This window comes from Homo sapiens, chromosome 7 (genome assembly GCF_000001405.40).
Source record: "Homo sapiens chromosome 7, GRCh38.p14 Primary Assembly".
Taxonomy (NCBI): domain Eukaryota; kingdom Metazoa; phylum Chordata; class Mammalia; order Primates; family Hominidae; genus Homo; species Homo sapiens.
In genome coordinates, this window is record NC_000007.14 from 54,672,314 (window position 1) to 54,688,574 (window position 16,261).

A 16,261-nucleotide genomic window follows, 5' to 3' on the forward strand; every position below is an offset into this window, starting at 1 on the left:
GTATTAAAACCAGCACAGGACACTTCTGAGAGTGGGGACCCTCCCAGGGTGGGGCTCTTGGTAAGTGCAGCAGTCACACCCCCACGAAGCAGTTTTTCGGGGAGGACTGAGAGTGATACATTGAGTAGAGGCAGCAAAACTGCCTCTCCATCTTTTTCGGGGCCAGCTGGGCCTGAGAATCAAATTGACATAAGATAGGCTAACAGATGAAAAGCATAAAATTTATTTTATGTGAGTTTACATGGCACCGGAGCCTTCATACAGAAAAGAAGACCCCAAGAAGCAGTTAGACTCAGTCCCTTATATACTGAATTGGACAAAAAAATAGTTGTGAAATGTGATAAGACCAAGGGGACTGGGCTAGGGTAGGACACAGGGAGAAGGGTGACTAAGAAGATAAGGGCTGGCTTAACAAAGTTTGTTTGTACAGCTTTATTCTGGCCTCAACTGTCCATCTTTGATGATAAGAATGTTATTCTGTAGAGGGCATCTTTCCCACAGGCATTACATCCCTGCTTTAGGAAACGACATGAAGGTTAGCGCGATGTTGTTGCACCTGCTGTTTTTTCAAGTATCTTTACTTAAATAGTCAGTATGCCAGGATGGCATATTTTGAGTGATGTATTCTTAACTCTTTCCTTTGCATCTTGGGAGGTGTGGTCCTTATAAGCCAAATGCCACAGGCAGGTCAGAGGAGAGTGATGCCCTGTAAGAACTTTTATTCTTTTTTTTTTTTTTTAAGATGGAGTCTCGCTGTGTCGCCCAGGGTGGAGTGCAGTGGCGCGATCTCAGCTCACTGCAACCTCTGCCTCCCAGGTTCAAGAGAGTCTCCTGCCTCAGCCTCTGAGTAGCTGGGATTACAGGCATGCGCCACCATGCCTGGCTAATTGTGTGTGTGTGTGTGTGTGTGTGTGTGTGTTTAGTAGAGACATGATTTCACCATGTTGGTCAGGCTGGTCTCGAACTCCTGACCTCATGATCCGCCTGCCTCGGCCTCCCAAAGTGCTGAGATTACAGGCATGAGCCACCATGACCAGACAAGGACTTTTATTCTACCAGGCATCAGAGTCATTTAGAGTTTTCCATCTGCTCAGTATGTGGAGGATCTAGGCTGTAGGTTAGGAGAAGATTGTATCTTCGCAATTACAACAGCTACCCTCTACATAGCTCTTGTTAAGTGTCTGTTCCACACTAAAACTTGTGCCAAAAGAATGTTGTCTATTAACCTATCTTATGTCAATTTGATTCTCAGGCCCAGCTGGGCCCCAAAGAAGATGGAGGGGCAGTTTTGCTGCCCCTACTCAATGTATCACCCTCAGGGCTCCCCCAAGCACTGCTTCCTGGGGGGTGGCCGCTGCAGAGACAGTTGTGGCCCTGTACCCTTGACTTGTGAAGCTAGCTCATTAGCACCAGCATGGGTGCTTCCTCTTAGCAACCCTTCAGACTGGAAAGATCTACTTGTAGAATTACACGGTAAAAAATAAAAAATCAGGATGCAAAACTCTATCTATAGAATGATCCAGTTTCATAAAAGACTGGAATAAAAAAACCCATAAATGTAAAACTGTTATTTTGTTTCATTTCACAATTTTTTTGAAGAGGCACTGAGGTTTCTGACATATGAGCATTGCCTCCTTCCCTTCTGTGTACCCTCATGGGTGTATCGTTCTCACTGTGAATTAGTACAGCAGCGTTCAATAGACTAACGAAATTCAGGCACACTTGAAGGGCACCTTCTCTTTTTTTGGTCCTGGCAAGACAGCTGGCAATGATAAAATATGTTTGAGTGCAGGAAATATTGGAAAACAACTTTTTTTGTAAAGAGAAGCTGGAAAAAATAATAATAATAACATCCCTGGGCCGTGTCCCGCAAGTGTAGGAGGAGCTCCGTACACCTGTGTGAAATTACATCAAGGATTTTTATGTTTTCTCTCTGTCTGCATTTGATGAATTACACAGGTTTTGCTTAACATATTAGAGTTGGACACAAAGAGAAATTCGTTTGCTTGTTTGTTGCTCCAGATTTATGCCTATGAGATTTTGGCTTTGTACATAATTTGGAGGTTTTGAGATCTTTGAATTACATGCATGCACATCTTTAGCAAGCTGCACCAGAGAACTGAAAGCATAAAATCAAATTACATGCAGATTGAAGAAGTAGCAATGATTTCTTTACAAGCAATTGTCAATTTACTGCCCAAGACTGAGGTTCTGGTCTCCCCACTGATCTGGGAACAAAATGAGTAACTAAAACAAACACTAGAACGTTAAAATTCACTCCACCTACTGCAATTGTTAAATCATGGGCTTCTTCTTGATTTTTTTAAAATTAAGGTCGTCTCTCTGCAAAACCATCCAGCTATTCTGACCCAATAGCCTATTGGAGGAGAGAGTTGTGGCTGAGGAGATCCAAAGGCTGATGACATTCATAGACCTTATGATTTATAGGCAAAAACTATCTCAACGGATACAATCAAAAAAAAAAATGCAGCTGTCAGAGAGCATTTTTGGCAAGTGTATCAGGGAGCTAACTCAAAATCTTGAGTTAAAATCAAAACACTTAAGCCAGGTTTGTCTCATCCTGTGCAATAACATTATGGCAGAGACTACTGCAAACTGTCACTTAAACTCTTTTCTTCTACTTCTTGAGAATAGCTAGACTACAGTTCCCAGCCTCCCTTGCAGGTAAAGGGGGCCATGGGGACAAAGAGGAAAGAGTCTCTTCCAGGCTGGCCTGTGAAACATGCTCCATACAACCCTCTATAACCTTTCCCCTCTCTGGAGGTTGGGTGTCCACACCCAGGTGACTTCACTTGCAGGCTTTGAGGATTACCCAGGGCCTGGCTGCTCTGAATGACCATGTGCGCAGAGACCCCTCCTTGGATTGTGAAGGGGTGGGTTGCCCCTCCACACCTGTGGGTGTTTCTCGTTAGGTGGAACGAGAGACTTGGAAAAGAAAGAGACACAGACACAAAGTATATAGAAAGAAAAAAGGGGGCCCAGGGGACCGGCGTTCAGCATACGGAGGATCCCTTTGTATTTATTGGCCTCTGAGTTCCCTTAGTATTTATTGATCATTATTGGGTGTTTCTCGGAGAGGCGGATGTGGCAGGATCATAGGATAATAGTGGAGAGAAGGTCAGCAGGTAAACACGTGAACAAAGGTCTCTGCATCATAAACAAGGTAAAGAATTAAGTGCTGTGCTTTAGATATGTATACACATAAACATCTCAATGCCTTAAAGAGCAGTATTGCTGCCCGAATGTGCCACCTCCAGCCCTAAGGCGGTTTTCCCCTATCTCAGTAGATGGAATATACAATCGGGTTTTACACCGAGACATTCCATTGCCCAGGGACAGGCAGGAGACAGATGCCTTCCTCTTGTCTCAACCGCAAAGAGGCGTTCTTTCCTCTTTTACTAATCCTCCTCAGCACAGACCCTTTATGGGTGTCGGGCTGGGGGACTGTCAGGTCTTTCCCTTCCCAAGAGGCCATATTTCAGACTGTCACATGGGGAGAAACCTTGGACAATACCTGGCTTTCCTAGGCAGAGGTCCCTGCAGCCTTCCGCAGTGTTTGTGTCCCTGGGTACTTGAGATTAGAGAGTGGTGATGACTCTTAATGAGCATGCTGCCTTCAAGCATCTGTTTAACAAAGCACATCTTGCACAGCCCTTAATCCATTTAACCCTGAGTTGACACAGCACATGTCTCAGGGAACACAGGGTTGGGGGTAGGGTTACAGATTAAAATGGAGTCTCTTATGTCTACTTTCTATACAGACACATTAACAATCTGATCTCTCTTTCTTTTCCCCAGAGGATTGTTTTGAAATACAGCACTATTGCCCTTTCGCCACTATACATTTGGGAGAAGACAGGCATATCTCAGAGATGTTGCAAGTTCAGCTCCAGACCACTGTATAAAATGCTTAGCTTTAAAGCTTCAAAGTACAGGCTGCCCCTCTTGTTAAGGGCTAATGTAGTTGGTGACTTAAGTTGAAGCCAATGCTTGTTTACCATTTTGAAAATCCTAGGACCCTTAAGAATTATGTTAAGTCTTCTCTGCCTGTGCTCTAGAAATGGAACAACAAAGAATGATGGCAGTGCATCTCTTTACAGCATGGTTTACTAAATATTTTAAGCCCACTATTGAGATCTACGGCTTAGAAAAAAAAAATCTTTCAAAATATTACTGCTCATTGACAATCCACCTGGTCACCCAAGAGTTCTGATGGAGATGTGCATGGAGACTGATGTTGTTTTCATGCCTGCTAATATAGCATCTACTTTGCAGTCCATGGATCAAGGACTAATTTTTACTTTCAAGTCTTACTTAATAAGTACATTTTGTAAAGGTATAGCTGTCATAGAAGTGATTCCTCTAATGAATCTGGGCAAAGTAAGTTGAAAACATTCTGGAAAGAATTTCTTATTCTACACGCCATTAAAAACATTTTTGATTCAGGGGAGGAAGTCAAAATATCCACATTAACAGGAGTTTGGAAGAAGTTGATTCCAAACCTGATGGATGACTTTGAGGGTTTCAAGGCTTCAGTGGAGGAAGTAACTGCAGAGGTGGAAGGAACAGCAAGAGAACTAGAATCAGGAGTGGAGCCTGAGAATGTGACTGAATTGCTGCAATCTCATGATGAAACTTGAACTGCTTCTTATGGATGAGCAAAGAAAGGGGCTTCTTCCGATGGAAACTATTCCTGGTGAAGATAACCATGAACACTGTTGAAATGACAACAAAGGATTTAGAATATGACATACACTGCATTGATAAAACAGTAGCAGGGTTTGAGAGGATTGACTCCAAATTCAAAAGAAGTTCTACGGTGGATAAAATGCTATCAAACAGCTTCACGTGCTACAGAGAAATTTTTCATGAAAAGAAGAGTCAATCTATACAGCAAACTTTATTGATGTCTTATCTTAAGAAATTGCCACAGCCACCCCAACGTCCAACAACCACCACCCTGCTCAGTCAGCAGCCTTGAACGTAGAGTCAAGACTGTCCACCATCAAAAAGATTATGACTCGCTGAAGGCTCAGGTAATTGTTACCACATTTTAGCAATAAAGTGTTTTTGTTTTTTTTCTTTAAAGAAAATGTCTCATTCTGTCCCCCAAGCTGGAGTGCAATGGTGTAATCTTGGTTCACTGCAACCTCCACATCCAGGGCTCAAACGATCCTCCTGCCTCAGCCTCCCAGGTAGCTGGTACTTACGGGCATGTGCCACCATGCCTGGCTAATTTTTGTACTTTTTGTAGAGATGGGGTCTCACCATGTTGCCCAGGCAGGTCTCAAACTCCTGGACTCAAGGGATTTGCCAACTTTGGCCTCTGAAAGTGCTGGGATTACAGGCATGAGCCACCACATCTGGCCAAAGTTGTTTTTTTGTTTTGTTTTGTTTGTTTTGTTTTGTTTTGTTTTGTTTTGTGACGGAGTCTCACTCTGTCACCCAGGCTGGAGTACAGTGGCACAATCTCAGCTCACTGCAACCTCCACCTCCTGGGTTCAAGCAATTCTCCTGCCTCAGCCTCCCAAGTATCTGGGATGAGAGGCACGCACTACTGCGTCCAGATAATTTTTGCATTTTTTGGAAAGATGGGGTCTCGCCATGTTGGCCAGGCTGGTCTCAAACTCCTGGCCTCAGGTGATCCACCCGCCTTGGCCTCCCAAAGTGCTGGGATTATAGGCATGAGCCACTGTGCCTGGCCCAAAGTATTTTTTAATTAAGGTATATACATTGGTTTTTAGACATAATGCTACCACACACTTAATAGACTACATTATACTGTAAGCATAACTTTTATATGTACTGAGAAACCAAAAAATTTGTGTGACACACCATTGTGTCAGCCGGTACTTTGAAGCTTTAAAGCTAATCATTCACTTCTTCTATGAAAGTCGCATGAGGCATCTTTGTCCAGCATAAGGCTTTTTTACCTATGTGGAAAATCTATTGTTTAGTGTAGCCACCTTCATTAATGATTGTAGCTAGATCTTCTGGAGAACTTGCTGCAGCTTCTCCATCAGCACTTGTTGCTCCACCTTGCACGTTTATGTTTGCCGAGGGCTTCTTTCCTTCAACCTCATGAACCAACCTCTGCTAGATTCAAACTTTTCTTCTTCTGCTTCTTCTGCTTCCTCTCCTTTCTCAGGCTTTGTAGAATTAAAGAGAATTTGGGGCCTTGCTCTGGATTAGGCTCTGGCTTAAAGGGATGTTGTGGCTGGCTTGATCTTCTATCCAGACCACTCAACCTTTCTCCATATCACCAATAAGGCTGTTTTGCCTTCTTATCATTCATGTGTTCACTGGAGTAGCACTTCTAATTTCCTTCAAGTTTTCCTTTGCATTCACAACTTGGCTAACTATTTAGAGCTAGATGTCTAGCTTTTAGCTTATCTTGGTTTTCAACATGCCATCTTTACTAACCTTAATCATTTTTAGCTTTTGATCTAAAATGACAGACGTGCAACTCTTCCTTTTATTTGAACATTTAGAGGCCTTTATAAGGTTATTAATTGACCTAATTTCCATATTGTTGTGTCTCAGGGAATAGGGAGCCCTGAGGAGAGAGACAGAGGCATGAAGCGAGCATATGCTGTTCACACATGGTGCCGATATGTTAGAAGCGTGTGAACCAGAGCAACTCCATCTTGAATAAGAGCTGGATAAAACAAGGCTGACACCTACTGGGCTGCATTCCCAGATGTTTAAAGCATCCTAAGTCACAGAATGAGATAGGAGGTCATCACAAAATACAAGTCATAAAGAACTTGCTGATAAAACAGGTTGCAGTGAAGAAGCCAGCTAAAACCCACCAAAACCAAGATGGCCACAAGAGTGACCTCTGGATGTCCTCAGTACTACACTCTCACCAGTGCCATGACAGTTTACAAAAGCCAAGGCAAAGTCAGGAAGTTACCCTATATGGTCTAAAAAGGGGAGGCATGAATAATCCACCTCTTGTTTAGCATATCATCAAGAAATAAACATAAAAAAGGGCAATCGGCAGTCCTCAGGGAGGCTCTGTCTATGGAGTAGCCATTCTTTTATTCCTTTACTTCCGTAATAAACTTGCTTTCACTTTACTCTATGGATTCACCCTGAATTCTTTCTTGCACTAGATCCAAGAACCATCTCTGGGGATCTGGATCAGGACCCCTTTCCTGTAACAGATAGACTTACTCAACTCAGGGTTGCCACAAACCTCCAATTTGTAAAAAACATAAATCCATGAAATGCAATAAAGCAAAGCACAATAAAACAAGGTGTGCCTGTATTTGGTATAAGGGTTAGCCTTGCTTACTAATTGTGATACTTACCAGAGCAGTTTAGGTTTGTTGCATTATTCAGAATATTTAATAAACCAAGTTTACTTTTGTTTTTTTTTTTCTGAGATGGATTCTCGCTCTGTCACCCAGGCTGGATTGCAGTGGCGCAGTCTCGGCTCACTGCAACCTCCGCCTCCCAGGTTCAAGCGATTCTCCTGCCTCAGCCTCCCAAGTAGCTGAGACTACAGGCGTGTGCCAACACACCCAGCTAATTTTTGTATTTTTAGTAGAGACAGGGTTTCACTATACTGGCCAGGCTTGTCTTGAACTCCTGGCCTCGTGATCCGCCCTCCTCGGCCTCCCAAAGTGCTGGGATTACAGGTGTGAGCCACAGCACCTGGCAAAGTTTACTTTTTATAAAATCACAGAATGGAGGCAGAGTTGGGAAATTTTACAGGGCCAATAAGAAATATAACAATATGCTATTGAAATACTATTAATTTGTGGCAGTATTTCATAAACTCAGTTGTGGACTCAAGTTGAACTTACATACTGAAATTTGCTTAAATACTTTCACCTAAAACAGTTTTTATGCTCTGGCAGTGGTGATTTTACAAGAGGCTAATTCAGCTTGTAATCAATTTCAAATGATGATCCGTTCACCTTAAAATTTATATGTAACAAGTTTACCATATTTCATATTTGTTTTTAATGTTTCCTGCCACTTTGGGGTTTTTTTAAATTATTTTATTTGTGACAGGGACAAGATTTTTAACTTGTGCAAATCCCTACCCACCACCTTCTGTGTCCCCAGAGGAAGCTCCCTCTTTCCTGTGCCTCCGAGCAACATGCACAGCTCAGAGGCAGGGCCTTTGTGATGGGGAATGGGACAAAATGGGAGGAAGCAGCCTGGGAGGCTGGGGAGGGGTCATGTTGATGCATAAATATTTTAATTGCATCATTACTTTGAACCTTTGATACCTCTTTTCTGTGCTTGAATCCAGGCTGTTGAGCGTGGATGGAAAAGCCTATTATCATTCTGATTTGTCTCCTTTGAATTCAGTACCACTAGCCTTAATGGGGAACTTCCTTAAACCACTCACCTAGTTGCCTATTTTTATTTTCTCTCTCCTCCTACCTCCCACACCTTCTTCTTATCCTCCCTCTCAGCTGATCACCTGACTTCTATTCCACCAAGGATGGAGAAGTAATCAGGGGAGGATGCCCATAGCTCCCTTTCTCACACTTATGCACAATCCCTCGCCCTGAATCTGTGTGCGCAGGCACTCTTTCTCCCTATTACTTTCTCCCTATTACTATGGAAGAAGCTTGGAGGCCAGCATCTCAACTTGTTCACTGGATCTCATTCTCTCTCTCTCTCTGTCTCTCTGTATCTCTCTGTCTCTCTGTGTGTGTGTGTGTGTGTGTGTGTGTGTGTGTGTGTGTGTGTGTGTGTGTCTGCTCCTCCACCCCTCCATCAATAAGTTTTCCCTCTCTTCTGGAGAGAAGAAATTTTGTTATTTCTCCCATTGAAAGGAACCTTTCTTTTGGTGTTACTGTGCCCTCCACCTACTGACCTACTGACTGATTTCTCCGCTCCTGTTTATAGCAAACCCACCCTAGAGAGCTGTCTGTAGTATATGCTTGTTGTTTCCAATTTCTCTCCTCCCATTCCCTCCAAAATCCACTCCAATCAGGTTCTGGTCTTCCCTACGACATCAGTGACCTTCATTTGGTTCAATCCAATGGTTATTTCTCAGTCTTAACTGAAATTTTTGGCTTGCCATTTATGTACATAGACAGATCAATTAATCTTTCTTTTTTTGACTTTGACCTCTTCGTTTTTGTTTAAAAAGTCTTTTCTTTCTTCCAGTATCTCTAAATGCTTACTAAAGTTGTCTTCAAGTTCCTTAAGGCTTTTTAAAGTTGCATTTAACTCCTGAATCCATCTGAAATATATTTTAGTATATAGTGTCAAAAATAAATCAAACTAGTTATTTTTCTCCAAATAGTTCATCAATAACCCCAAGTTACATCCCTTCTTTATGTCGTCTTTCTTAATTGAGACAGTGCTGTTTATTGAAGGTGGCATTCTGTTTTAAAGTTCCACCCTGACTAAGCTTCTGTCCGTCAGTTTTACATAAAGCCCATAGAAATCAGCTCAACACGTTTTATGCATTGAGATTCTTCCCAAGATCTGAAAACAAGTTATGTTATCTGTGGCTCTTAATTTTTGTGTGGGGAGTTCATGTACTTTAGTGAGAAACTGCAGAAGTTAATCTCAAGAGCTAGACCTTTGGTACCATTTTAAAACAAATCTCTCAGATTATGATTCTATTTTTATAACTTTTATTTGAGCACTTTATGAATCACTTTATCAAATTATGAACACCACTGCCCATAAAGTTAAGCAATCAAGCAAATTTAAAGATCTGATTTCAAGAATATTTAAAATATTATAAGAATATAAGAATATTTAGGAAAAGCTAAATATGTTCAGAAAAATGGATAATATCTCAATTGCTATGTAGGAAAATAACTATAGCATATCAAAATTTACATCTTTACCACCCTTTGTCTATGGTAAACATTAAGAAGGAACAAAAGTGAATAACTTGACAATGTGAATACCTACACTCACTATTGCTACTATTAATGCTATTCTGGAAGTTAGTTGATGGAAAATGCTCCATCCATGAAAACATAAATGCCATCAAAGAGAGTAATTTTACAATAATTCAGGTGATTCATTCATAAATTTTGTAGATTTTGATAAATAAGCCAGAGACTATGATCATTTATCTCACTACTCCAGAAGGATGGCATGAAAATGTTTGTATCTAATGTGATGATTTACATGGTGGCAAAATATAAAATAAATACACAGGCATCAATTGTATGTCTATTAATTTTCCATCACAATAGACAGTAATAAAACCGAATGGAAAAAGACACTACTCAATACTTCATAGCCCAGAGCAGTGTTTCCCAAGATGTAGACCCCACGCAAGGCTTCCCCACTAGAAATCTCGGAACACAGGCCCAGGAAGCTCCCATTTAACCATTTTAAACCAGCCCCAGATGCTTCTTTTGCTCTCTAAAATTTTAGAGTCCCTGATGTTGTAAGTAAGAGGAGACACTGTGTGAACTTGAGCAAATTATGACACCAATTCAGGCTTCAGTTTCCTTATCTGCAAAAGAAGGAGAATGATCATACGCACATTATAAGGTGCTTCAGAAGAACAAATAAAATAATGTAGGTGAGGGGTTTGTGATCTGCCTAGTGCAGAGCAAGTACTCAATTTTCATTCAATAATATTATTATCAAATATTAAAATAAAGTGATAAAGTATGCAAAAATAAGCTTCGGAAAGAATATTCAGGACTTAAGTGAAGAAAACAAAAATGAAATGAAATACTTTTTAAAAATCACATAAATTGAGAGGCAAACTCTGTTCCTACCAGGAATGGTGGGGAACAAAAGGAGAATGAAACATGTAAAGAAATCACCTTTTCAAAATTGATTTTTAAATTTCAAGTAGCTCTATGCAAAATATCAAAAGGACACTTTTCGTAACACACCGCAATGCTAAGGGTCATCTTGAAGAACATGTAGAAAAAATTATCCACCCTCGGCCCCGACATGCAGAAGGAAGTACCTTGAGAGCCACTTTCATTGTTAGACATCATAATGCATAATCACAATACATTTAACAGCATAGTACTATTATTAAAAGGGCAGGGACGTCAATGAAACCAAGGAGAAAGTACAGAAATCTATCCAAGTTATTCAAGATAACTTAGACTGTGACAGAGTTGCATTTGAGGTCAATGGAAAAAATAGGAATTATTGAATAAATGGTAATTACATTATTAAGTAATTAGAAAAAAATAAGGTTACTCCAAATTTATTTCCAAATGAATTACAGACTAAAATTAAACTATAAAAGAGGAAAACTGAAGGAAAAAATGCAAATTATTTCTTTGGAAGCATCCTGTATATTGTGTTAATAGAAGTAATCTATAAATTTAATAATTTTAGCAAGCCATGTTTGATTAGTAAAATGTAAGAAGAAATAGGCAAAGTAAGTAGAAAGAGGTAGTATACTATTCACAGTTTTTTTTATCATAAGAGGAAGATGAGCCAAGCACATTCCATCAGGTGGAGAAAACATTCTGGCTAAGACAAAACTGCATCAGCACTGCTCATGGTTGCCTGAGTTACTAGATATTCTCATCATGCTAATAATATAGTAACTAGCAAAACTACATTTGAATCATTCAAATGCAGTTCATATTAATCAAGAATGGAATGACAAGTAGAGGTCCAGAGATCTCTGTGGCCCAGGCCATTCTGATATCCACTCTGGCTCCACCATCTAATGGGGGCCATGTCTACTTTCCATGCCTGTCATTGTAGTCTAAGACTTGCCCTCCGTCACCCCAGCATATTCTCATACCTCCTGAAACCATCTACTTAAACCAGACTGCTGTCATCTCACCAGCATCCAGAGCCAACAGAAGATTCCCATGAAAGCACTTTTCTTCCCACAGCAGGTTAGAGATATGCCCTATTTCTAATACTTTGATCACCATATCCACCTTGAAGAAGGTACAGTGTTTTATGGGCTTTTGGTGTGATCAAGGAGTGAGTAGGAAGGATACATGTGATGGAGCTTCTCTTGTATATCAGTCTCCTAAAGGACAAATGGCCTCCCCAGTTAGTATAGAGGTACAACATTTCTAGAGGTCAGTCATACTGGGCATCAACAATTTTGGCAGTATGCATATGTTTTTGAGCCAGAAATTTCAGTTTTAGTATTTTCTATAGAAAATAATTGATGTTTTTAACTCAATAGTAAAATATAATAATAATCCCATTAAAAAGTGGGCAAAGGACATGAATAGACATTTCGCAAAAGAAGACATACAAATGGCCAACAGGTATATGAAAAAAATATTCAACATTACTAATAATCAGAGAAATGCATTCTCACATCAGTCAGAAAGGCTATTATAAAACAACAACAATGACAACAACAAAACATAAAATAACAGAGGCTGGCAAGGTTGCAGAGAAGAGGGGACACATACGCCATTGGTGGGAATATAAGTGAGTTCTGCCACTATGGAAAATAGTATGGAGGTTTCTCAAAAAACCTAAAAATAGAACTACCATATGATCAAGCAATTCCACTATTGGGTATTTATCCAAACGAAAAGACATCAGAATACCAAAGATATACCTGTGCCCACAATTCACAATAGCACTATTCACAATAGCAAACATATGGAATCAACCTAAAATGAGGTATATATACAGCATGGAATACTATTTAGCCATAAAAAATGAACATAGATGGAACTGGAGGTCATTATGTTAAGTGACATAAGTCAGACACAGAAAGACAAATATCACATGTTCTCACTTATATGTGGGAGCAAAAAAGGTTGATCTCATCGAGGGAGAAAGAGTAAAATGATAGATGCTGGAGACTGGGGAGGTTATGTGGGGACTGAAAGGAATAAAGAAAGTTTAGTTAATGACTACAAACTTACAGTTAGGTAGAAGGTATAAGTTTGTGTGTGTGTGTGTGTGTGTGTGTGTGTGTGTGTGTGTGTGACAGAGTCTTATTCTATCGCCCAGGCTGTGGAGTGTAGTGGAATGATTTCAGCTCACTGCAACCTCTGCCTCCCACACTCAAGTGATCCTCCAGCCTCAGTGTCCCAAGTAGCTGGGACTACAGGCAGGCACTGCCACACCCGACTCATTTTTGCATTTTCAGTAGAGACAGGGTTTCGCCATGTTGGCCAGGCTGGTCTCAAACTCCTGACCCCAAGTGATCAGCCCACCTCGGCCTCCCAAAGTGTTGGGATTACAGGTGTGAGCCACCATGGCTGGCCAGAAGCTGTAAGTTCTAATATTCAATAGCAAAATTGAGTGATTATAGTTAGCACCACGCGTTATATATTTCAAAGTAGCCAGAAAAGAACTTGAAATATTACCAATACATAGAAGCAATAAACACACAAGGTGATGGATACCCTAGATGCCCTGGCTCATTATTATACAGTCTATCCATGTAACAAAAAAAAATCACATGTACCTCATACATATGTAAAATATTATGTATCAATTAATTTTTAATATATCTTTTTTTAAAAAGAAAATTATGTTTTTAAAGATGTATAAGACTGGCCATAGCAGATGGGGCACGGTGGCTCACACCTGGAATCCCAGCACTTTGGGAGGCCGAGGCAGGCAAATCATCTGAGGTCAGGAGTTCAAGATAGCCTGACTGACATGGTGAAACCTCATCTCTACTAAAAAGACAAAAAATTAGCCGGGCATGGTGGTGCATGTCTGTAATCCCAGCTACTTGGGAAGCTGAAACAGGAGAATTGCTTGAACCCAGAAGGCAGAGATTGCAGTGAGCCGAGATTGCACCATTACACTCCAGACTGGGCAACAAGAGCAAAACTCCGTCTCAAAAAAAAAAAAAAAAGACTGGCCATAGCAATACTATTTATCATTGCAAAAACAACGCAATAGGTGTTTTGTTTGTTTGTTTGTTTTGAGACAGAGTCTTACTCTGTCACCCAGGCTGGAGTGCAGTGGCACAATCTCAGCTCACTGCAACCTCCACTTCCCAAGTTCAAGTGATTCTCCTGCCTCAGCCTCCGGAGTAGCTGGGACTACAGGCACCCGCCACCGCACCTGGCTAATTTTTTTTTTTTTTAATAGAGACGGGGTTTCACCACGTTGGCCAGGCTGGTCTCGAACTCCTGACCTCAGGTGATCCACCAAGATAGGTTGTATTTCTTTTCTTTTCATTCTTTTTTTTTGTTTTTGAGACGGAGTTTCACTCTTGTTACCTAGGCTGGAGTGCAATGGCGTGATCTCACTGCAACCTCCGCCTCCTGAGTTCAAGCGATTCTCCTGCCTCGGCCTCCCGAGTAGCTGGGATTACAGGCATGCACCACCACTCCCAGCTAATTTTGTATTTCTAGTAGAGACGGGGTTTCTCCATGTTGATCAGGCTGGTCACAAACTCCCGACCTCATGTGATCCACCCACCTCGACCTCCCAAAGTGCTGGGATTACAAGAGTGAGCCACTGCACCCGGCCTGATGGGTTGTATTTCTAATCATAGGAAACAGTCCAAAAATTATGATACAGTGGTAGAATATAATACTATAACATTAAAACCTGTGCTATAGCTCAAGAGTTTGTATATAGGAAAATACATAATATGCATTGCTAATTTTACAAAAATCAGGTTAACTGCTCCAAAAAACATTAAAAATGGAGTGATTGAATTTTTGTAAATAAATGTATGTGTGTATGTGTGTGTGTGTGTGTGTGTGATAGGCCCAGTAAGTTGTAACTTTGGGTGTGAAAAAAGTCAAAATCCACCTGTACTTGTACTTGTTTTGCATGAGACATTAAATTGCATTAAGAAGAGTCCATTGCATTTCCCCTTATTACTTAGTCGTGTGACAGAAAAACAGAATCTCAGGACTCCAAACTCACTGTGACAAAGGGAAAGAAGCTTGGGAACTGTGTAACGCAAAAAACAACAACAACAACAAAAAACAAAAACAAAAAAACAACTGCCTTCTGTCTTGTTCCCAAACAGAAAGCTGCAAGGCTAAAAGGCCACATATCTCCTCAGGTAGCTTCCCTCTCAAATTGCTCACAAGGAAATTCCTTGTGGGCCCCTAAATTATTCAGAATACATACCCCCCTAAAAATTAACCCTAAAAGACGGTTCTGTTGAATCTCACTCTGATATTGTAGATTCACAGCTCACCTTTACAGGAACCACAAAGACAAGACTAGAAATTATCACTGCCCACCCCACCCCAGACAAATGCATATTTGACTGCTTCCTCAACTTTCATTATTTTATGTAAAATGTAGATTCACTGAGCACAGAAGACAAATGCATAACTGACTTTTCCTCTACCCTCCTTTCATGCATGAAGTGTGGATTCAGTAAGCGCCAATCAAAGCCTCGCAAGAATGCAAAAACTCTCCTCATTGGCCTCCCTCTCCCTTTTTTTCTGTCCCTCTTCCCTGCCTGCTGGCTCTTTCCTCTTTAAACACTGAAGTCCTGAAAACTCTCTGGAAAAGGCAGGGATCACACACCCTCTGGTGATTTCTGTTTACTTTTCCAGGGTGTGTCCTCAACCTTGGCCAAATAAACCTCAAAATCAATTGAGACATGCCTGGGAGCAAAAGAGAGAAGTTTTTTGATATTTTCAAAAATATTCCAAGAATTGCAAGTGTACTGAACATGTAAAGTCATTTTACTTGTCATTATTCCCTAAACAATACAACAACTATTTACATAGCATTGACATTGTGTTAGGTATTATAAGGAAGCTAGAGGTGATTTAAAGCATTTGGGAGGATGTGCATAGGTTATATGCAAATAATACACCACTTTATACCGGGGACTTCAGCATCCACGGACTGCGGTGTCTTGGAAAGGTCCTGGGTTTTTTTGGTTTACATTAGCAATTCAGGTTCTTATTTTAGAGGAAGACTGGAACATAAATTTTGTCTGGCTTGGCACAGACTAAGAAATAAATAACTCAAAATTATGTTGGGAAGATGTCAATCATAACAATTCAAAAATTATGAGGGAGGAATGGTGAAATTTGTAAAGAAGCCAAGAGAGAAGAGAAGGAGAAAAATCTCTTTATTCTGTTTTGATGTTCAGCATCATAAAAAAACAAAAAATCTTTGCCCACTTTTTAGTGGGGATTATTTTGTGCTTTTCTTGTAAATTTGTTTAAGTTCCTTGTAGATTCTAGATATTAGACCTTTGTGAGATTGCAAGTATTTTCTCCCTTTCTGTAGGTTGTCTGTTCTCTCTGATGATAGAAGACATTTATGCAGCCAACAAACATATGAAAAAAAGCTCAACATCACTGATTATTAGGGAAATGCAAATCAAAACCACAAT

At 40.5% G+C, this 16,261-nt stretch overlaps 3 annotated features.

Moving 5' to 3' along the window:
- Window positions 2,525-3,170: an enhancer, noted in NCBI's record as "NANOG-H3K27ac hESC enhancer chr7:54742531-54743176 (GRCh37/hg19 assembly coordinates)". NCBI's record gives its function as "activates a minimal SCP1, AML or CMV promoter by ChIP-STARR-seq in primed H9 embryonic stem cells {active_cell/tissue: H9 hESC(primed)}" and the evidence as "EXISTENCE:reporter gene assay evidence [ECO:0000049][PMID:30033119]".
- Window positions 3,171-3,816: an enhancer, noted in NCBI's record as "NANOG-H3K27ac hESC enhancer chr7:54743177-54743822 (GRCh37/hg19 assembly coordinates)". NCBI's record gives its function as "activates a minimal SCP1, AML or CMV promoter by ChIP-STARR-seq in primed H9 embryonic stem cells {active_cell/tissue: H9 hESC(primed)}" and the evidence as "EXISTENCE:reporter gene assay evidence [ECO:0000049][PMID:30033119]".
- Window positions 8,027-8,595: an enhancer, noted in NCBI's record as "OCT4-NANOG-H3K27ac hESC enhancer chr7:54748033-54748601 (GRCh37/hg19 assembly coordinates)". NCBI's record gives its function as "activates a minimal SCP1, AML or CMV promoter by ChIP-STARR-seq in naive and primed H9 embryonic stem cells {active_cell/tissue: H9 hESC(naive and primed)}" and the evidence as "EXISTENCE:reporter gene assay evidence [ECO:0000049][PMID:30033119]".